General features: G+C 41.3%; 1 protein-coding gene across 4 annotated transcripts in view, besides 1 other annotated feature; it reads right to left on the bottom strand.

Annotated features, from left to right (window-relative positions):
• The window catches only part of IQGAP2 (IQ motif containing GTPase activating protein 2), a 304,848-nt gene that overhangs the window by 227,940 nt on the left and 53,901 nt on the right, over positions 1 to 23,007 (bottom strand). For all 4 annotated transcript variants that reach the window (NM_006633.5, XM_017008960.2, XM_047416641.1 and 1 more), the window contains exon 2: positions 18,524 to 18,623. In NM_006633.5, the coding sequence (NP_006624.3) occupies positions 18,524 to 18,623 (100 nt within the window). The remainder of the gene's footprint in view (positions 1 to 18,523; positions 18,624 to 23,007) is intronic.
• Positions 6,995 to 8,194: an enhancer, noted in NCBI's record as "CDK7 strongly-dependent group 2 enhancer chr5:75767824-75769023 (GRCh37/hg19 assembly coordinates)". NCBI's record gives its function as "activates an origin of replication core promoter dependent on BRD2, BRD4, P300/CBP, MED14 and CDK7 cofactors, with strong dependence on CDK7, by STARR-seq in HCT116 cells {active_cell/tissue: HCT116}" and the evidence as "EXISTENCE:reporter gene assay evidence [ECO:0000049][PMID:35650434]".

Below are 23,007 nucleotides of genomic sequence, written 5' to 3'. Positions count from 1 at the left end.
TAATCTGAGGCACACAGACACCCCACTGAGTGAAGTTCTGAGGCAGAGAAGTCAAAGTCTCTGGTGACACTCCCTGCCCAGCCCCCACCTACACAAACAGCTCTGTGGGTGCGTAAAGTGGCACAAATGTCCCTTCAATTCTCTTCCTCCCACACTTAAACCATATCGCTCCTCCCTTCTCCTTGACTGAGCCTGACAACTTCTCCTTTGTTCTTTGTCATCATCCAGCCTGGGAGACACATCAGGAGTAAGAAAATAATACTCCATCTACTTCTTCCTTCTATCAGTCTCTCAAAACCAACACACACACACAGTTCTACACCACACACATGAGTTTATTTATAATTTGACTTAGCCACAAGACTTCTGAATATCATTTAAGTCTGCTGAACCTTTGTTAATTCATCCTTGAACCTGTCTTGTTGGTGTGTTTCAGATTGCAGGCAGTTCTGATGCATAAAAAGCCTACTTAAATCTATTTGTGCAGAACACATCGTCAGGGGTTGAGGGGCTCCATTTGCACAGAGGTCCTTTAAAATCCCTATTTCATAATGTCATCAGCACAGAGCAGCTGCTAGACAAACTATCCCACTGAAATGGAAGGGTGAGGAGCACCCGGTCCTATGTATTCAAAATTGTGAGAGGGATGGCACGTGCTCCCCTAAATGTCTGTGAGTAACAGAGGATATGTGGAATTCAGCCATTTCCACCACACAACACCTTGCTGCCAAGCACAGCCAGCTGGTCTGTGTTCCCCAAAGCGATCCATGCAATTGAGAATGAAAATCATTCAAAGGCTATCCAACAGAATCAGCGTCCCTCACAAAGCCTCTCTAGACAAAAGCACAGGGACAAGAAGCCTAAGCCAGAACTTCTGAGATCACAACACTCACTCAGGCAAAGCAACCTAGCACCCATTCTGCACAGGCCCCGTGCAAGGCAGTGGGGTACAGCGAGTGAGAATGTCTTCCTCAGGGAGCTCCCTGACTGCTAAGAGAGGACAACACATGGAGAAAGCTACCATAAAGCATACTATGCACAGTGGAAGCAGGACAGGGACCTGAGGCATAACTGAGGAGAGAACGATCAACCATGGCGGGAAGGCGGAGGCGGTGTAAAAGGGGTGAGTATGGGCTCCTGGGCCAGGCTCAGGAGGTGCCCTTCCATGATCCTGCAGGGAAAACGGAGCCTATGAAAGTTGTGAGCAGGGAAAGGCCTAACTAAACACCTCCTGGTTTCTCCCAGATGGTACAATAAACCCCAAGTATGAACTAGGTACAGAAAATTAAAATTAATGTTCTTCCTCCCAGAGATGCCTAGGAAGCAGCACCTAGTGCGGTCATGTATCACTTAATGAGGGAAATGTGTTCTGAGAAGTATGTCATTAGGTGATTCCGTCATTGCGCAAACATCACAGAGTGCACTTAAACAAACCTAGATGGTACAGCCTTCTACACACCTAGGATATATGGCCTATTGCTCCTGGGCTACACACCCATACAGCATGTGACTATACTCAGTACTGTAGGCAGTTGTAGCATGGTGGTATTTGTGTATCTAAACATAAAAAGGGGGCCCGGCCTGTAGCTGGGATTACATGTGCGCACAACCACGCCTGGCTCACGCCTGTAATCCCAACACTTTGGGAGGCCAAGGTGGGCGGATCACTTGAGGACAGGACTTGTGTCACTGTCCTTTAGGATAGTGAATGTGAAGCCCTAGGACATTACCGTACACTACTGTAGACTTTATAAACATCGTACACTTAGGGTATGCTAAATTATTTTTTTTCTTGAGGCGGAGTCTCACTGTCTCCTAGGCTGAAGTGCAGTGGCACGATCTCGGCTCACTGCAACCTCCACCTCCTGGGTTCAAGTGATTCTCCTTCCTCAGCCTCCCAAGTAGCTGGGATTATAGGTATGCACCACCACGCCTGGCTAATTTTTGTATTTTTAGTAGAGATAGGGGTTTTGCCATGTTGGCCAGGCTGGTCTCAAACTCTTGGCCTCAGGTGATCCACCCGCCTTGGCCTCCCAAAGTGCTGGGATTACAGGCGTGAGCCACCACACCATTGCACTCCAGCCTGGGTGACAAGAGCGAAACTCCATCTCAAAAAAAGAAAAAGAAAGGTTCTTTCTTCAATAATAAATTAACCCTAGCTTACTGTAACTTTTTTACTTTATAAACTTTTGAATTTTAACTTTTTGACTCATTAGCTTAACACAAATACATTTTACTGCTGTACAAAAATATTTTTCCCTTTATGTCCTTATTCTATAAGCTTTTTTCTATTTTTAACTTTTTAATTTTTTTTTTTACTTTTTAAACTTTTTTGCTATAAACTAAGACACAAACACACATATTAGCAAGATCCCACATGAGTCAGGATCATCAATATCACTGTCTTCCACCTCCACATCTTGTCCCACTGAAAGGTCTGCATGGAGCTGTTATCTCCTATGATAACAATGCCTTCTCCTCCAGTGCCTCCAAAAGGGCCTGCCTGGGGCCATTTTACAATTTGCTTTTTATTTTAAGTAGAGAAAGTTCACTCTAAAAATAACATAAAAACATAGTAAATACATAAAGCAGTAACATAAGTATTACCATTATGAAGTATTATGTACTGTACACATTTGTATGCGCTATACTTTCATATGACTGGCAGCACAGTAGGTTTATACCAGCATCACCACAAACACGTGAGTAATGCTTTGATTGGGAATTTTTCAGCCCCATTATAATCTTATGGGATATTGTTATGCAGAACATAACTATTACCAAAACATGCTCAAGATAGTGTAAAGCACTTTATTCAAATGCGGCTGTAATGTTTTATTTTGTTTTGATTTGAGACAGGGTATCACTCTTTCACACAGGATGGAGTGCAGTGGTGTGATCACTGTGCACTGCAGCCTCTACCTCCCAGGCTCAGGTGATCCTCCTACCTCAGCCTCCCAAGTAGCTGAAACTACAGGCGTGCACCACCATGCCTGGTTAATTTTTTTTTTTGTATTTTGTGCAGAGACAGGGTTTCACCATGTTGCCCAGGCTGGTCTCAAACTCCTGGGCTGAGGCAATCTACCCATCTTGGCCTCCCAAAGTCCTGGGATTATAGCCACCATGCCTGACCTGTAATGTTTTAACGGATCATAAAATCAACACAGTGGTTCATGACCAGCATTTTCTTAGAAAATGAATTAGAACAGAACAGAATAGTAAACATAAGAGGCTGTTGCATATAGTAGAAGTTAAGTGTTGCTCGGTGAATCTTTAGTTAGACACACACGCCCACTTATTACACATATCACACAGCTACCTGGGTCATGATATAAAATTATTTTACTCTGGGTCATAAGGTTTTAGTCACTTGCTGAAAGTGTATGTCACAGCTAATGAATTAGTAATAAATCAGTAGCACAATTAGTAAATCAGTAACACAAGATCTCTAATGGGCCCCTACCACAGTTACATAAATCTATGCCTGTTTCTGCAGTGGATTTGGTTTCCTAGTAAACTCTAGTAAAAGTCCTGACCCCCCCAGAACTCATATAAAGTCATCTGTCTCCATCCTGCTAACCAGCCCTCCTTAAACATACCCCAAGCCTACTCACTCCTTCCAATGAGCCTCTGAACTCCTGACCCGTTGTAATTCTCCTATATTATCACTTTTTGTTTACACTTTCTCTACCTACTTGTCTAATGAAAAGCTGGCTTTTGCTTCAAAATCCCACCCCTCATAAACCCACTCCAGGGGTGGTTGTTTGCCAAATTTCCTTGACTCCCAGGACAAAGAGAGGATAGTCATCACTTTCCCAAATAAACGTTTCTCCCAGGCCACATCCTGTCCATCACCTCACTTCTCAGGGCTTCACTCTTCCCTCTCACCCCTAACCTTGCCACTCATTTCTTGACCTCCAGGACTTTTCCTTTCTTGCCACAATTGCTGCCTTCCTCCCAGGCCTGCCTCTGCTGGGTGGCTTCAAGAAGGTGGATGACCTTGGTAACACTCCTCCACTACACTCCAACCACACACAGGCACCACACCTTGCACGTTATCACTACCTGGAAATACTCCACCTGTAAGATCAAGGCTTCCAAATCTTGGACTATAGCCTTTCTATTTACTCACTTCTCCACTTCCTTATTCTTATAGATCCTGCCCTTTATTCTCATTGTAGGTGGTTCCTTGATTTCACCCCACTCCATCTTTCCCATCCTGGCTTCATAGGCTCCTCGGCCAGATGGGACCTCAAGAACCCAATTTCAGCAATACTCTCATGAACACCCTGGAGTCCCTGTTTCCCATGCAGAGGCCAAAGGAAATCCTCCCCTTTGCCATCTGAAGGTTCTCTGAAAAAATCAACTCACAAAAGGCCGATCAATTGGAGAAAAGGCATATAAGTTTTATTAACATGTACGCAAGTAGACTCACATGTTTACCCACCCCTCAAGTGACTCAGAAGCTTAACTACCATCCCAGCAAAACAGGTTATGGGAGGGGGGCAGAAAAGGAATTTGGTTGAGATTACCAAGGAAAAGGGATGGGGAACAGAGATTAACCTGTATGTCATCCTGTGAAAGGTTCTGTTCAGGTGTGGCCACATTCCCGGTCTTACAGGGAGGGGAAGGAAAAACAATTCTTTCCCCTGGTGGGTCTCGATCTTTGGTAGATAAAGCCTTTGAAAGAGAATGTGGGATGCAGGAATGTCAGAGACACCTTGAAGCTTCTTCAGTTTGGAATGTCAAAATGCTGTATTTTGGGGCATCAGTGTCTGAGCCCCAACACCTATGACTTGGTCAGAGCCAGCAGGTCAATCCCTAGGCATAGTTACCCCATTCTTTTATCTTGTTGGAGAAATTCACATGAAAATGCTTATTGGCTCTGCAAAGAACATTTATAACACTAATTGGATCTTCAAAACTACTCAGGCTTTCTATCCAACCCTGGCTGATGCACTACTGCTTTTTCATGCCTCCACCCTCCTCACCTCAGCAGATGGTGACTCTTAGTATCCTTCCTCTCTCCCCTCTCATCCCAGAGGAAGGGGTATCCTCTGTTCCTTTTTTCTAAGCTGGGGTGGGAAGGCTGAGAGCTGAGACAGCCTCAGCCATAGATGCTATCTCAAATGTCAGTGTGCATAATAGTGTACTCCAGTGCTCTGTTAAAAGGCAGACCTCAGCCGGACGCGGTGGCTTATGCCTGTAATCCCAGCACTTTGGGAGGCTGAGGTGGGTGGATCACATGAGGTCGGGAGTTCAAGACCAGCCTGACCAATATGGTGAAACCCCGTCTCTACTAAAAATACAAAATCAGCCAGGTGTGGTGATGCATGCCTGTGATTCCAGCTACTTGGGAGGCTGAGGCAGGAGAATCGCTTGAACCTGGGAGGCGGAGGTTGTCCTTAGAGATGGCCTTATAGGGTCAGGAGTGATCCTCAGAAGCCTGCACTCACACAAGCATCCAAGTGACCTTGATGCAGGTGTAAATGAATTTGGGGATCACTGCCCTAAGTCACTCTCCCAGATGACATAGCTGCCTCAACTCTTGCCTTGAGAAATACCAGGGGCAGGAAAAGCTGTGTATTACAAATCACACGATGGGAAAAAACAAACAAACAAAAAAGCAACCCAGGGACATTAAGCCAAGTAGGACGGAGTACAGAGTGCAGAAATGACTAGAAATGTTAATTCCTGAATTCCTGTTCTTGCACCAAAATGGGTTCAAGTTTCTCAGCAAAAATGAAAGATCAAGGACAAGAACATATGAATGGCTAATTCCCCCAAACCATTTGCAGCATTTAACCAAAAGCAAACTTGAACTGAATCTACCAAATAAGTTTAATATTCATGTTTATATTTTTTCTTTATTGAGCTTTCTACTTTTACTACTCAACATGATTTATAGAGACTCATTTGAGCTTTCTACTTTTACTACTCAACATGGTGTATAGAGACTCATGGAACTAAAGAGCACTGTCAAACAGTCAGAAGACCTTTATCCTAATCCCAAATCTACCACTAACTCCACCATGGATAAGTGAGATAAATTTCTGAGCCTCAGTATCCCCATATATGAAATGGGGATTTGACTCTGTTAAAGAAAAACAAAGGTGTTCAGACTGAGAAGGCAATGGAAGATCGCTCTACATTCTATATCACCCTAAAAATGGAAGACACAAAGAAATCATTCTGTGACAACCTTGTACAAATGTTCTCCCCCACCAGCTTCCCTAAAGTCACTCTATGCCTTGAATAATGATACCGTTTTATGACTTTTAAGCATCACAGCATGAGGCAGCTTCCGGTGGGGAGGTTCACACAGGAAGGAAGAGATCTCAGTGCTGTTTGCTACTCATACCTTTTGATGTTTCAACAAAAAGCCAAGCATTCTTTGAAACCAGTCATAATAGTGGCAAAACCAAAAAGATAATTGATGAATTGAAGGTGGTATGGAGGCCTAACCAAGAATAAAGATGCACCAAAATTTTCTTGGGTGAAGAGAACAGAATAAAGTCTACATCATAGAGAAGTACAAATTCTTAATAATACTTTAAGGCACAGTAGCTGATGCCTGTAATTCCAGCACTTTGGGAGGCCAAGGTGGGAGGACTGCCTGAGGCCAGGAGTTCAAGACCAGCCTAAGCAACATAGTGAGATCTCATCTCTATTTTATTTTAATTGAAAAAAGAGAGAGCAAGAAAGAGCTAGCCTAAAATGAGCAAAAGAGAGAAGGAGAAAGAGGGAGGAAGAACACAAAGTAAATACAAGATAAATTATTCCCAGAACAAACTACTTATAATAGTACCAGTTAAAACAAAATAGAAACAGTTCACAGGAAAAAAAAAGAGAAAGGAAAATAAAACAATATATAGCCATATATAGCCAATGGATAGCTATATTGTGCTAATTCCACCAAAGCTTAAGTGAGAATTTATTGATCAAGAGCTAGAACTAGAACTAGCCCATATAGAACCTAAAAACCAAGACCATGTTTTGGACTTACAAGGAAGACATGATCAAAACACATTAAGAAATAAAGAAATGGGACAGTATGTTATAGTTTTTAAGCACAGTCTTTGAAGTCAGAAAGACCTAGGTTGTAATACTGTTGCTGTCGCCTGTTGGCTGCGACACTGAATAAATTACTTAAGTTTTTCCAAGACTTGGTTTTTCCATCTATCAAATGGGGATAATGCTCCTTCCCACAGAGTGGTTGTGAGAATCGAGACCATGTGGGTTGAATGCTTAAAGCACCGTGCCTGGTGAGTAGACACTTGTGTGATAATCCTTGTGAGTAAAGTACATTTGCAACCATGGAAAATTCCAAACCTCTCCCAGGTTTCCAACTTTGAAGATCCTGAGAAACAAATATAAACTTTGGGATCAAATATCAGTTGCTCAACTTGTCTTTGGCTGGAGATGATTAATACCGATTATTTGTATTTTAAAATACCAGCACTCTGAAAAGTTATACTTTCATCTGTCAGAACATACCCGATTGGCACCTGTCCAACATACATCCAAAGCTAGTACAATATGTGAAACTAAAAACAAAGAACTTTTTCCACCTACTATATGCCCAAGCCTAGGCTTGGCAGACAGAGAACACGAAATGTGTCCTGCTGAGTCAGATAAGCAATGCTTTGATCTGCCCCAGGGCATCTGACCTCCCAGTGTCCTCCTCTGCTGCCCAAATCCAGACCCCCGCCAAGTCCTGTAGCTTTTTCCTTTATATCCTTAATAAGTGTTCCTTCCATTCTAGCTCCACAGCATAATCCCTGGTCACCGCCAGCTGGCCCTCAGCACCAACACCTCTCTGAGGCCCCAACTACAAGCACTACTTGTTGGCAGGTAGGGCTGGCTGGGATCACGTCTATTCCTGTGCCACGGAGATCACCCTGTTAAGACCACCTCTCCAACTCTGCCAAGCTACCCTGGACAAGTCTGGGCTCCTCACAAGTTACTCTCTCCCTGCCATTGGGATGTGCCAGGCCCTGATCTCAGCCTCGCTGGCACAGGGCTCCTGAGGCAAGCTGGTTGGAAAGCAGCCCCAAGCAGGCCTTCCCCTCAACCAGGTGCCAGACTTGCGAGGGGGTCCCTGCTCTCAGCTCACTGCACCCTCTGCCCCACCAGCTGCCGCATGGAACAACCAAGCAGTTCATCTTGCTCCCCGTGGAAAGCAGAGGTGAGGTCAGAGCCAGGGAGAGAACAAGGGAGGGAAGGGAGAAATGGAGAGTTACAGTGGAAACATGAAAACTATTTATGTTTTGAAAATGCAATTAGGAATTCTTAAAAATTTCATTACTATTTTGTGTGTAGAGCAACAAAGAAAAATATTTCCCTGGAAATTCCAAGTTCTTATTAGCATTGCTTATCCATGGGTATGTCCTAGGAATAAGGATAGTGAGGTCCAAGCATGCAGAGGAAATCCACTGGATTCTCTAAAGTATTCCCCAGTCAGAAGATTCTCTTTTTTTTTTTAAACTAATCATGAATATTGACTGTTAAGCAACTCATGGCTTTCACTTGCTTAAACATTTGAAGCACTTCTCCTTTCAAATCTGATTCTCTAACTCACCACTAGATAAGGCCAGAGCTTGAGACTTGATTTAATCAACAAGGTGTTCTTTTGGTATCTGAGTTGTAAACACTGACACAAAAGGAATCACACCCGTGTTTTGTTTTCTTTCCAGGGCACATATATAACTGTCCCAGACTCACCAATATAGCCAATGGCTTGGCTTACCTAAAGAGACCTTTGAAGATAATATTTCTAAACAAGCCTATCACCAAGGGAAGGGTGTTTTTTTTTTTTTTTTTTTTTTGCTTAGTTTATTTTCAGAGGTAGGACAGAAAAAGGAAGCACAGCAAAAGTTTTCTGTGCATTTTCTCTTTCCTTAAAAAAGGAATATAATATCACAGGAACTTTCCTTGGGAGACACAATAGCAGTCCCATTCATAACTATTTACTCAAGCTGCAATTTGCAAACTCCGTCTCCATTCCTTGCCAAGATTCCCTCTCCTGTTTTCTGACCTTCACAATAGCTCCGGTTGGATTAAGTTCCTCAACCTAGAGTTTATCCAAAAAGAATTCTCCATCGTACATTTTTGCATAGTTGTCCTAAAAACTAAAAGACTGAATTTCTTAAAACAGATTCATTTTCATTATTTGAATAAATTTTAGGCAGATTAATATAAAATCTACTCAGCAGTACTAATTCTTTTGGAAAAGTTACTCCTTTAATTTAAATAGTAGGATTTCTGGCATCAGAGAGGACATTTCAAAGCCCATATTAGTAGTAGACTTGTCTGTACAGTTTCATTTCAGCAAAAGCCCCACAGCAAAGAAGCTATAAAGTTAGCTTTGAGGGCCTACTTGAAAAGGAAACCTAAAAAGTCCATTTAGTATTATTTTAAATGACAAAGAAATGAAAAGGCTTAGTTTAAAACAGCTCCCAATTAAAAAAAATCAAGGGAGTTGCCAGGCATGGTAGCAAGCAACTGTAGCCTCAGCTACTTGGGAGGCTGAAGCTGGAGGATTGTTTGAGCCCAGGAGTTTGAATCCAGCCTGGGCAACACAGCAAGACCCTTAAAATTAAAAACAAAAACACAAACCAACAAAAAACAATCAAGGCAGCAGTAAGCTTAGAACCGTAAGCATTCAGATCAGGAAGGATTCAATTTCTGATTGAGTTTCTAATAGTAACAAAAATAATTTTATCCTCAAATTCCCTTTCTGGGGTCCATTTCAAAAGCCTATGAAGACACCCTGTGAAAGGCAGCTTCTAAGGTGGTGCCCCAGTCATCCCCATCCCTCTGAATTCAACCCCTTGTGGAAAACTCCTCCCCTTGAGCATGGCCTTGACTTAGTAACTCGATTCTAATGAATAGGATACAGCATAAATGATGGGTGTCATTGCTAAGAATAGGTTACAAAAAGACTAGCTTCCATCTTCTTCTCTCAGTTGCCTACTCTGATGGAAACCAGTTGCCATGTGTAAGTTTCCATGTGTAAGAGGCCCAAGTGGTGAGCAACTGAGGGAAGACTCTGGCCAACAGCAGCAAGGAACTGAGATCTCCAGTCCAAAAACCTGTCAGAAACTGAATCCTGCCAGTGTCACTGGGTGGCTTGGAAGTGGGTGTGCCCCACGTGAACTGTGAGATGACTGCAGCTTTGTGAGAGACCCAAAACCAGAGGACCCAGTTAAGCAATGACAGATTTCTGACCCTCAAAAATTCCGAGATAAATGTTTATTGTTTTAAGCTACTAAGTTTTAGAATAACTTGTTATATAGTCATAGGCAACTAATACATATACAAGACATCCTTTGCCTCTTAACAGAAGTGATTCACTCTCCACTTCATCTGAATCCTTCAGCCTGTAGGGTGAAGTAATTTGGGTGAAGAGCCAAATTACTTCTTTTTGGCCCTAAAAAAAAAAGCCTGTTTAATATTTTGTTCATTGCCATCAATATTAGTTTTTTGAGGCCAGGAGCGGTGGCTCATGCCTGTAATCCCAGCACTTTTGGAGGCCAATGCAGGCGGATCACTTGAGGCCAAGAGTTTGAGACCAGCCTGGCCAACATGGTGAGATCCTGTCTCTACAACAATATAAAAATTAGCCAGACATGGTGGCATACTTCTGTAATCCTAGCTACTTGGGAGGCTGAGGCAGGAGAAATAATCGTTTGAACCCAGGAGGTGGAGGTTACGGTGAGCCGAGATCGCACCACTGCACTGCATTCCAGCTTGGGCAACAGAGTGACACTACGTCTCAAAAAAAAAAAAAATTCATTTTTTGAGTCTTAACATCTATACGTAAAGACTTCATAATTTTATAAAGTTTGAGCAATAATTTCAGCCTTAAGTCCTCCTAATACACAGGCTTCCTCTTTCTCTCTTCATTCATTCATTGAGCAATACTCTATACGCCTTTCTGGATATTTTCTAGTTCACTGTGGTATCACGGCTTATTAAGTTGTCTGGAATTCCCAGCTTCATAACTTACTGGGTCACAAACCTGTCGGGAAGGACTTGCATCATCTAACTGCAATATAGAATTTTCCAGTGAAACAAAGATTACCGCTAGGCTGGCAGTCTAGCTGTCTACCGTGAGTCTGATTCATATCCTCCTTGTTACCTCCAACATCCAAAATGTACAGAAAACAGAGCATAATCAAACCTCCTTAGTAGCGAATGATACTGATCCAACACTGGGCATTACGTTATTCATTCAAACATGCAATAGATGTGATGTCAAAAGGCCTTCTAATCGGTGAGTTTGACCTGGATGTGGAAGCCAGAGAAGGATACCCTGAAAAAGTGAGCTGCAATCTGAAGAGGAAGTAAGTCTGACTAGATAAAGAGGAATATGAAAAGCGAATAGCACATGGCAAGGTCCTGTGCAGGAGGGAACAGGGAATAAAACAGATCAATGTGGTTGAAGCACAGAGCAGTGCGGCACAATGTAAAACTAAAGAGGTTGAACTGGACTATGCAGAGCCTATGAGGCCAAGTAAAGGAGTTTGCTCAGAGTTTTGAAAAGATTTATCTGACTATAAGACAGATAAAGGATTGAAGGAGGCTAGAGACTCATGAAGAAACCAGTTAAGGACCACTACAGTAGTCTCACAAGAGATGCTGGAATCCTTTGGCGGGCTAGCAGTGGTGGGATAGAGAGGTGAACATATGAGAGCTGTTTAGGAGGATGATGGCTGGATATGGAGATGATACACATATACAGAGAGATTAACAGAGCAAACATAAATGAAGGAAAATAACTTTAAACTCTTGAGTAAAAAGTTCAACCAAATGGCGAGTTTTTCTGAGCACAGCATTATTTGTTGCCTGAACTCCATCTCCCAAAACAACCCTCCTAGGCTTGTTTACACATAAAGGATGCTCAATAAATATCTGTAAAACAAACACAGTATTTAGATATCTCGTGTATCTTAGGGGTACCTTCTATATGCAATGTATCTGCTAATACCAATTGATCTTATTTAACAGCTTCCTAAGGACCTCTCCAAGCCAGTGTAAGGAAATTATCTTTAATAAATAGCTTTATTGAGATACAACTTATATACCATACAATTCTCCCTTTTAAAGTAAACAACTCAGTGGTTCTTAGTATACTCAAAGTTGTGCAACCATCACCACAATCAATTTTAGAATATTTTTATCAGCCCAAAAAGAAATCCCATACCCAGTAGCAGTTACCCAGCATTTCTCTTCTTCCCCTAGGCCCTGGCAATCACTAATCTACTTTGTCTCTGTGGATTTGTCTATTCTGGACATTTCATATAATATGTGGCCTTTTGTGTCTAGCTTCTTTCACTCAACATGTTTTTAAGGTTCATCCATGTTGTAGTATGTATCAGTACTTCATTCTTTTTTATAGCTGAGAAATATTTCATTGTATGGATACATCACCGTTTATCAGTGGGTAGACATTTGGATTGTTTCTGCTTTTTGTCATTATGAATAATGATTCTGTGAACATTCGAGTACAAGTTTTTGTATGGGCATAGATTTTCAATTTTCATTCGTATATACCTGGGAGGATAATTGCTGGGTCATATGGTAACTCTGTTTAATTTTTTAAAGAGCTGCCAGACTATTTTCTAAAGTAGCTGCACCATTTTACAATCTGTTCAGCAATGTATGAGTTTTGATTTCTCTACATCCTCACTAACATTTGTTATTGTCCATCTTTGATTATAGCTACGCTGGTGGGTATGAAGTAACATCTCATTGTGGTTTTGATTTGTATTTCCCTGATGACTAATGATGTTGACTACCTTGTCATATGCTTATTGATCACTTGTGTATCTTCTTTGGAGACATGTCTATTCAGAACTTTTGCCCATTTTAAAATTAGGCTATTAACTCTTTATGTAGAATTTAAAAGTGCTTTACTTTTATTTTTATTTTTTTGAGACAGAGTCTTGCTCTGTCACCCAGGTTAGAGTAGAGTGCAGTGTGATCTCAGCTCACTGCAACCTCCACCTCCCAGGCTCAAGCAATTCTCCCACTTTAGCCTCCAGAGTAGCTGGGACTACAGGCATGTGCCACCACATCCAGCTAATTTTTCTATTTTTTTGTAGCGATGGGGTTTCACCATGTTGCCCAGGCTGGTCTCGATCTCCTGGGCTCAAGCGATCTGCTGGCCTTAGCCTCCCAAAGTGCTGGGATTACAGGTGTGAGCCACCTCACCCGACTTAAGAACCCTTTGTATATTCTGAATACATGTAACCTTTATCAGACACATGATTTGTCTTTTCACTTTCTTGATGGTATCTCTTGAATCAGAAAAGGTTTCAGTTTTTATAATGTCTAATTTATCTGTTTTTCTTTTATTGGTTGTGCTTTGGTGTCATAGCTCAGAAACCAATGCCTAACACCCAAGGCTACAAAGATTTACTCCTGTTTTCTTCTGGAGAGATTTACAGTTGTGGCTCTCACATTTAGGTTAATAATCCATTTTAAGAAAATGTTTGTATACGGTGTGAGGCAGAGGTCCAAATTCATTTTTATGTATGTAGACACTGAGTAGTCAGCATCCTCTGTTGAAAAGGGCATCTTCTCTCACTCCCAGTGAATTGACTTTATTCTGCTGATGAAAATCAGTTTACCAGAAGTGTTAGGGTTTATTTCTAGACTCTCAAATCTACTCTATTGATCTATATGCATATCCTTATGCCAGTACCATACTGTCTCAATTACTGTGGGCTTTGTAAGTACGTTTTGAAATTGAAAAATGAGTCCTCCAACTTTGCGTTTCTTTTTCAAGACACTTTTGACTATTCTGCATTCCTTGCATCTCCATATAAACTTTATTTTTGTTCTTGTTTTTGAGACAAGGTCTTGCTCTGTCATCCAGCCTGGAGTGCAGTGGTGTGATCGTAACTCACTGCATCCTCAGCCTCCTGAGTGATCTTCACGCCTCAGCCTCCAGAGTAGCTAGGTCTACTGGTGCATGCCACCACATCTAGCTAATTCAAAATTTTTTTTTTTTGCAGAGACAGGGTTTCGCTACATTACCTAGGCTGGTCTCAAACTCCTGGCCTCAAGCAATACTCCCATCTCAGCCTCCCAAAGTGCTGGAAGATAAGCACAAGCCACCAGACCTGGCCACCATATAAATTTTAGAATCAGCTTTCTAATTTCTCCATTTAAAAAAAAAGAAGGCAGCTGGGAATATTTCTAGAAACTGTATTGAATCTATAAATCAATTTGGGACCATTGTTTTCTTAATGCTATTTTCCAATCCATGAACATGAGATGTCTTTCTGTCTATTTAAGAGTTTTAAAATTTTCAATGTGTTGTAGTTTTCAGTGTTCAATTCTTGTACTTCTTTTGTTAATTTTATTCCTAAGAATTTTATTGTTTTTAATGCTATCATATAGTGAATTGCTTTCTTAATTTCATTTTCAGATTGCTTATTGCTCGTGTCAAGAAATGCCATTTTTACACACTCCCCTAGTATCCTACAACCATGATGGACTCATTGTGGTGGGGTTTTCTTAGTGTTTTCTTCTGTTCTGTTTTTTAGTAGATTCCTATGGATTTTCTATAAACCAGAAAACATCCCTTAGAAATAGTTTCACGTCTTCCTTTCTAACCTGGATGCCTTTTGCTTATTTTTCTTGCCTAACTGCCTGGCTAAAATCTCCAGTACAATGTTAAACAGAAGTGGTAAGAAAAAACATCCTTATTCCTGTATTTCACCACTGAGTATGGTGTTACTTGTAGGTTTTTCATAGATGTCCTTTATCAGGTTGAAATTCTCTTCTATTCCTAGTTTGTTGAACGTTTTAAGTCAAGAAAGGGGGCTGGATTTTACCAAATGCTTCTCCTGCATATATTGAGATGATCATATGGCTTCTGTCCTTTCTTCCATTAATATGGTCTATGATATTGACTTTCAGGTCTTAAACCAAGCTTGCTTCCTAGGATAAATCTCACTTGATGGTATTAAATATATTTTATATGTTGCTGGATTTGATTTGCTAGTATTTTGCTAAGGATTTTTGCATTTGTATTCATAAGAGATATTGGTCTTTAGTTTTCTTGAGATGGCTATCTGGTTTTGGTATTAGGGTAATGTAGGCCTCAGAAGAATGAATTGGAAAATGTTTTCTCTTTTCGTATTTTTTGGAAGAGTTTGCAAGGACTGCTCTTAATTCTTCTTTAAACATTTGGCAGAATTCTACTGTGAAGTTATCTGGGTTTGTGGGAAGTTTTCTGATTTCTAAGTCAGGCTCTTCACTTATTATAAGTCTCATTCTGTTTATATTAGTTTTTTTCAGATGTTTAAGTCTCTTATTGAGTCAGTTTTAGTAGCTTGTCATTCTAGGAATTTGTCAATTTCCTCTAAGTTTTCATTGGCATGTAATTGTTCATAGTATTCCTTTATAATCCTTTGTATTTCTGTAATGTTGGTAGTGATGTCCCCTCTGAATAAAGAACTTTTCAATGGCCTGATTTATTATAGAATTTTGAAATTAATAAAACCAAAATAAAAGATATACTGGAATATTATAATTCTCAATTTGTAAAAATCTTAAGTTACAGGATATACAAACTAGATACCTTCCAATTCTCACCTCCAGAAAGAAAAACAGGTGCAAAGACAGAACCAATACATTTTTAATTAAAATGCAATAAAGTCATTTCAACTGAAATCAGAAACAAGAAACACTTCCTAGATGAATATATACAGTACAAGCATACAATTTAGTAGAAACTCAATATTCTAAGTCAACTCCATTCATGTGAACACACATATGTGCATTATAATAAACCCAATATCACAAATTCCAAAGGTACTAATACTTTAAAAGAATCATGCAATAAATCCTCTCATCTTTTCAAGAAAGACAAATTCACCCTTTCCTGTATTTCTTGCATTCAAGACCATGAGTTTTCTGTGCACTATGCTTTCTTAAATCAGCACAACTATATGTCTAGTAGTAGCCACAAATTTTTATATAATCCATGACCAAAAATCAGCTTCTTTCAAAGTATTTGTGTCTTGGCCGAGTACAGTGAGTGGCTCACGCCTGTCATCCCAGCACTTTGGGAGCCGAGGTGGGCGGATCACTTGAGGTCAGGAGTTCGAGACCAGCCTGGCTAACATGGTGAAACTCCATCTCTACTAAAAATACAAAAATTAGCCAGGTGTAGTGGTGAGCGCCTGTAATCTCAGCTGCTTGGGAGGCTGAGGCAGGAGAATCACTTGAACCCAGGAGGCAGAGGTTGCAGTGAGCTGAGATCCCGCCACTGCAGTCTAGCCTGGGCGACAGAGTGAGACTCCATCTCAGAAAAAAAAAAAGAAAAAGAAAAAAGAAAAAAAGTATTTGTGTCTTAATAAAAGATTCATAAATATATACTACATCTAATATACTCATCAAATAAATTTATGAAAAGCCATCTTAGAGGAAAAATTGTACATTTTGATAATTATTTTCATGAAACTATTCCAAGGAAAGTTTTCCTCAAAGAATCTGAAATAATCATTATGCTGACTTTCTGAAACAAAATTCAACTACAGAATTTCAAAAATACTAGAGAAGATGACAAGCTTTCAAGCTACATTTATACCATTTCAATATACTGAGGAGAAAACTTTGCTTATGTTATCACCATAAACCTGACTGGCACTATAGCTTACAGAATACTTTCACCTTCTTTAAATGATTTTTTAAAAATCCTTGAATCCATGAATAAGTAGGGCAATAAGTAACATCATCTTGATTGTCTCATTTACAGAGGGGACAAATTGAACTTCCCACAGGTAAAATGGTCTGTGGAAGGTCAAGCTGCTTGTGTAAGTGGTGGAGCTGGGACCAGGAAGTTAGGCAAACCAACTCCCAATCACATATCATTTTCCTCTACATGACACCCCTTCCCACTTGTTAAAAACAGGAGGCAAAAACAAAATGTAAAGTGAGTATCAATAGAAAAGTAAGTTTTTCTACTATCTCCTTGAACTTATTCACTGAAAGTATATTTTTTCTTTTCTTTTTCTTTCTTTCTTTTCCTTTTTTTTTTTTTTTTTTTTAAAGACAGCGTCTCACTCTGCCACCCAGGCTGGAGTGCAGCAGCCCGATCTCAGCTCACTGCAGCCTCCACCTCCCAGGCTCAAGTGATCCTCCCACCTTAGCCTCAGGAGTGGTTGGGACCACTTCTTTCTAATGCCTATGAATCAATCTCCTTATCTAACTTTTTTGCGACAACTTGACTAAAAGCATGTTTTTAATGATCTTAGACTGATAGTGAATCGCTAGCATCCTGCAACCTAACTGTAGACTTCACAGACATGTTAAACAATCTTTAAAACTTGGTTTTTAGAGCCTAAAGAAAGTTACGTGACACTACTAAAATATTAAACAACTCTGAGAAACCCCTTGAAAGCAATTTTGATGTCAAATTAGGGCATGTGTCACCAAAATACTGATTAAAAACCTCATCATTCTAGTTCTGTAGATAGCCATTCATCAGTGATCAGAGATAATTAACACCAGTGACCATTTAACCAAGTATTTATTTCTATATAGCTAAGAGGGCTGGAACATATCTTTGTCCAGGGAACAATACTGTCGCTCCACCCTGGCATAAAGCATTCAATCAAACTCTAACTCATGGTATATGAACTCTGTAGTATTCACCCCACAAAGGATAAAGTTCTCTCAATTCCTCTCATGAGGAAAGTATTTGCACTTAGGACTCTTTATCTTCACTTTCTCCTTGGAGAACGCAACATTTATTTAATCTAAAAAGCCTAAAAGAGTCAATGTGATTTTAGAGACAATATACCCTAAGTGGCCACACACCCACGGTTTAAAGAGGAGATTGCTGTCATAAACCTACTTAGGGACTGATGGACTTCAGTCTGATATGCCACTGTCCTGCTGGGCATTTATCATCATTGGGCTGCGAGTGGGGAAAAGACCCAAGGAAGCTCTGCGGAAAAAGGAAGTTGATTTAAGTCATTGTTGCTCCTCTACATCCAAGCCAGTGAGATGAAGAATTTGAAACAATCTGCAGTTGGCCCCGTGATTTCCTGGGAGGCTCCGAGGCAGGGAAATGAATAGTTGCCTTCCTCCTAGTGCCTCAACTTTGGCTGTGGCATCAACTTTTTCTCAACTCTGCCCAACCATTTGCAAGAAATAGATGCTTCTTCTCCCATTATCCTGCTGCCAACAAGACTGCAAATGAGTTATTAGAACTATGTAGCATATGCACAGGAGTGTGATGTGCACCCAGCTGTGACTCAGGAGTGGAGCAGAGTGTGGAGGGGTCATCCCCTAGCCCACTGGCCTCCTGGCATGGGAGGTTTGGCCAAATCTAAATCACTGAGTGCAGGCAAGAATCTCTCCCTGGCCATCTCCAACTACGACAACTCTTTAGAATTGCTGGCCCATTTCAGAACCCTCTGGTCATCAAATCCCACGCCCTTATCACAAAGCTTATCTCCAAGAGATGGTGCACAAATAGACTAAGTCTGGATCTTACCTTTTGGCTTCCTCTAAGTGGCACAGATATTCATAAGCAATGTTCTGCCGCCTCCTCTCATCCATCTCCTCTGCAGAGAGCCTTTCATCGTCCACAATAGCTAGAAATAGAGGATAACAACATGTGATTTACAAAGGCAGTCTTCATTAAACACCTGAGACAATCAATCAGAAAAAAATCATATGCAGCTGAACATTTAACATTCAGAGACAGGAGTATTGAAACACCAGGCAGAGAGAGAAATTTGCCTTTGGATTTTACAATATCATTTCTTTTCCTTTATTTTTATTTTTTTTTTTTTTGAGACAGGAACTGGCACTGTCACCCAGGCTGGAGTGCAGTGGTGCCATCATGACTTACTGCAACCTCAGCCTCCTGGGCTCAAGCAATCTTCTCACCTCAGCCTCCCAAGTAGCTGGGACTACAGGCACACGCCACCACACTTGGCTAGTTTTTTTATTTTTACAGTATTATTTCTAACAAGTGAATCAAGGCCAGGTGCGGCGGCTCACGCCTGTAATCCCAGCACTTTGGAAGGCTGAGGTGGGCGGATCACAAGGTCAGGAGATCCAGACCATCCTGGCTAACACGGTGAAACCCCATCTCTACTAAAAATACAAAAAATTAGCCAGGTGTGGTGGGGGGCACCTGTAGTCCCAGCTACTTGGGAGGCTGAGGCAAGAGAATCAGGAGAATCACTTGAACCTGGGAGGTGGAGGTTGCAGTGAGCCAAGATTGTGCCACTGTACTCCACCCTGGGCGATAGAGTTAGACTCAGTCTCAGGGAAAAAAAAAAAAAAAAAAAAAAAGCAGTGTGCAAACGGGCAGGAGCTTCCATGGATGTCCTCATCCTTGTCCCATCCCCCTTCCTACCACTCCCAATTTTCCATTGTGGCTCCATTCCTTGAACATGGAGACCTCACCCCACAGCATTGATACCAACGGGTGTCAACAAAGATTGACATGTGTCAAAAACATTTTCTTTTTCTTTAATAAACTCAGTCCAATCTAAACTTTAAAACTGAGCTCTCACATTTCAGAAAAGTACAGAAGCTCTCAATCTTCCTCTGCACCTCCATTGCGAGAGTCCAGGTCTTAATGTCTCTCCCATAAAACTCTCAGAACAGGTCTAGTCACTCAGCCACTACCCCTTTTCCACTCATTCTCCCCATGGCCAACAGAAGCGTCTTCCTTATTACTTCCCCTCTCAAAACTTTTGATGGCTCCCCTATTTCCTACAGAACAAGTTCTAGAGCACTTTGCATCTCCCCACATCCAGGAAGCCCACACTTTAGCCAGAGCTCCCAGGCAGCACCGTGTTCCAGGACCACACCACTCCCTCCAACGCTGAGTGCTTCTGCTCCACCCTTCTCTCTGCCTGGAAAGCCATTCTCCCACCTTCTGCAGGTGGTGCCTTTCACATCATCTCAGGCAAAATTCCATGGATCTCTGAATCTAAATCCATTGGCTCTCCTTGGCACTTTAGTTCACATTTTTATTACATCACTCATCAGAAAAGCCCCCCACTGTAAATCAGTCTGTCTGTCTCTCCAAACTAGGGGATCCTTAGAGGAAGCTTTTGATCATCTTCATGTCTCCTGCCAATTTGTCAGGGCTCCTTGCACATAGATAGCACTCTGCGCGTACAGAAAAACTACCTTCCAGTGAATCCTCACTAAGTGAGCTCATCATTACTCCATAATGAATAGACTTTAAAAATTATAATTTTTAGGCCAGGCACGGTGGCTCACGCCTGTAATCCCAGCACTTTGGGAGGTCGAGGCAGGCAGATTACTGAGTCAGGAGTTCCAGACTAGCCTGGGCAACATGGTGAAATCCCATCTCTACTAAAAATACAAAAATTAGCCAGGCGCGGTGGTAATCCCAGCTGTAATCCCAGCTACTCAGGAGGCTCAGGCAGGAGAATCGCTTCAACCCAGGAGGCGGAGGTTGCAGTGAGCTGAGATGGCACCACTGCACTCCAGCCTAGGTGACAGTATGAGACTCTGTCTCAAAAAAAAAGTTATATTTCTTTCCCTGTGTTTTCTTAAATGATACCTGCCACACTCACATACCATCACCTAATCCTCCATCTCTACTGTTCTGAACAGTTAATCCCCAAGATACCTCATGATTTCCAGTTTCTCTTTTTAATTTCAGCTTAAAGACTTTCCCATTTCTGACAGGATATTTTCATTTTATAGTAAGTACTTCAGAAACAGTAAGGTTTGGATCCAAAATAAAACTCCTAGTGGGAGCCCATGTGCTTGTCACACCATCCCCAACTTGGAAGAGTGGGCACTGGAGTCACATTAAAAAGGCGGTGCTCTCCCCATCTTTCCTATGCTGCTGCACCCTTCCGGCCTCAACTAACCCCCCAGCAGAAGACAGAAGCCCCAGCAGAACCCCGTCCCTCGGCCTCTGCCCACAACTGCCTCCACAAACCATGCAATATTGTACCAGCCCAGGACAGCTGCTGAGGGGCTCCCAAACTCTGTTATCATCCTGTCCAAATAAGAGATTTTACTTAATGTGTGAATTAAAATACACACCCACAAAGCTTTAAATTGCAATTGCAACATATTGACCCCATCTAGTGGGATCCTACCTATCTTCCAGGCTTGACCCAGTGGGCACTTTTCTTCCCAAAGTCTTCCTGATTGTCTCAGCTCAAAATGCCCTCCTATCCTGCTTTGGTTAACAGTAAACTCCTAGAAGACGTATTTGTGTCCTCATGGTGCCCAGCACACCTCCCTGCACAGGCTGCATGCTCTGTAAAAATATATGATGAAAAAATAAAATATCTTATCGGGAAAGGCTCCCAAAGGGCTCCAAAATATCTCTGTGAGGTAATTTTATTTATTTACACTCAATAAGAGTATGATCATTAATGGAGCAAAGATAGCACCATTCTGTGGACTTTACTCAACTAATGTTCAATTCGTAGGTTCTATGTGCCACATGTGAGTCAAAGCACCAGACACAGGGTAATAAGTATAAAAAATGTGTACCCTCATGGGACTTCCTTGTACATACCCATTCCTTGCCTTCTGACCTTCTGCCTGGCCCACTGACTTTCTAACTACACACACTTTGGCCTCACCTTCCTTGAATGGGAGAGAACACCTTTCATAATCTACTGTCAAATTGTAAGTCTAGGAAGGTTAGGGAATTTGAGAAAATCTTAACAGCAAAAGCAAGTCCTTCTGGGCCACAGAGACTGCCTGCAAATATTTCTGCATTACTCAATATTTACTAAGTAGTGGCTTTTGATAAGAACCACTGGCATGGATAATAACACTGTCATTTAAAGATCCATCATGGAGCTAATAAAATAATTCACTTAAGATGTGGCTTTACTGCCTATAAAGGACGTTTCCATATGTTACTGTGTGGTTCTGTGGTTCTCATGATCACCCTCAGAGATAGGCATTATCTCTTTCCTATAAATGAGGAAACCAAAGTCAAGCAAGGGAAAGGGACTGCCCACAGCTATTTGCTGGGTCAATGGTAAAGCCAGGGCCGGAACTAAGGTCTGTCAACATTGCAGCCCTTATTCTTTGCCCAGTACCTCCTGCTGTTAAATCTAAGTGGGCCCAGGAAGGGACTTGTCACTGCCAAGCCCAAGAAGCAGGTCATTTAAGTGGCTTCAAAATTCTTTTCATTTTAAAGTAACTTGATTAACTGCAACCTCCACAGTTCATCTTTACTTGCTGCCGTGAACCACAAAAAACATGAGGACATTGTGAAGAACACAGCTTTCTGATGTATTAGCAACTCACAAAATACCACTTGCAGCATCAGATGACAGTTCAAAGCAATTGCATTCTATGAAAATTACACAATAAGGCTTATTCACAGATTCAAGGAGCAGAATGAAAGCAAGTTGTTAGAGAGTATTTTGAAATAGAAGTATAAATTAGAAATGAAAGGGTCCTTTAGGAGTCCATTTCCCAAAGAACACGTACAAAATCCAATGTAAAAATAGCCCAAAATCTACCTAATTCAATAAGGAGTTGACATGGTCGCTGTTTAATTTCCCCTATTCTCTACCTGCTACCTTCACACAGAGACACCAAGGCCACCATACACTTTGTATTAAAATTCACTCATTTGTTCAACAAACATTTGAGTGGCTGCTTGGTGCCAGTTTATTATGGAGATGGAACACAAAGTGATGAATATGACTCAAAAGGTCTCTCAAAGTTTTTATTAAACAATTGAAAGTTTGGCATAATTACGAAATGCTTAGATTTGAGGGATATATTGAAGGGAGGGTTGGCAAGAGGCCCCAAAACCAGGGCTTGGAATCTGTTCTGTAATAGGGTATTATTTAGGGTGTTTCTCTTCAAGGAAAAGCAGAAAACCAGGAATTACCAATTCATAGAAATATGTCCGGCTGGGGTAGCTCCCACCACTTTGGGAGGCCAAGGTGAATGAATCCCTTGAGTTCAGGAGTTTGAGACTAGCATGGGCAACATGGT

This window comes from Homo sapiens, chromosome 5, assembly GCF_000001405.40.
Source record: "Homo sapiens chromosome 5, GRCh38.p14 Primary Assembly".
Lineage (NCBI taxonomy): Eukaryota > Metazoa > Chordata > Mammalia > Primates > Hominidae > Homo > Homo sapiens.
Note: the sequence above shows the minus strand (reverse complement) of the source record. Positions and strands in the feature narration are given on the sequence as shown.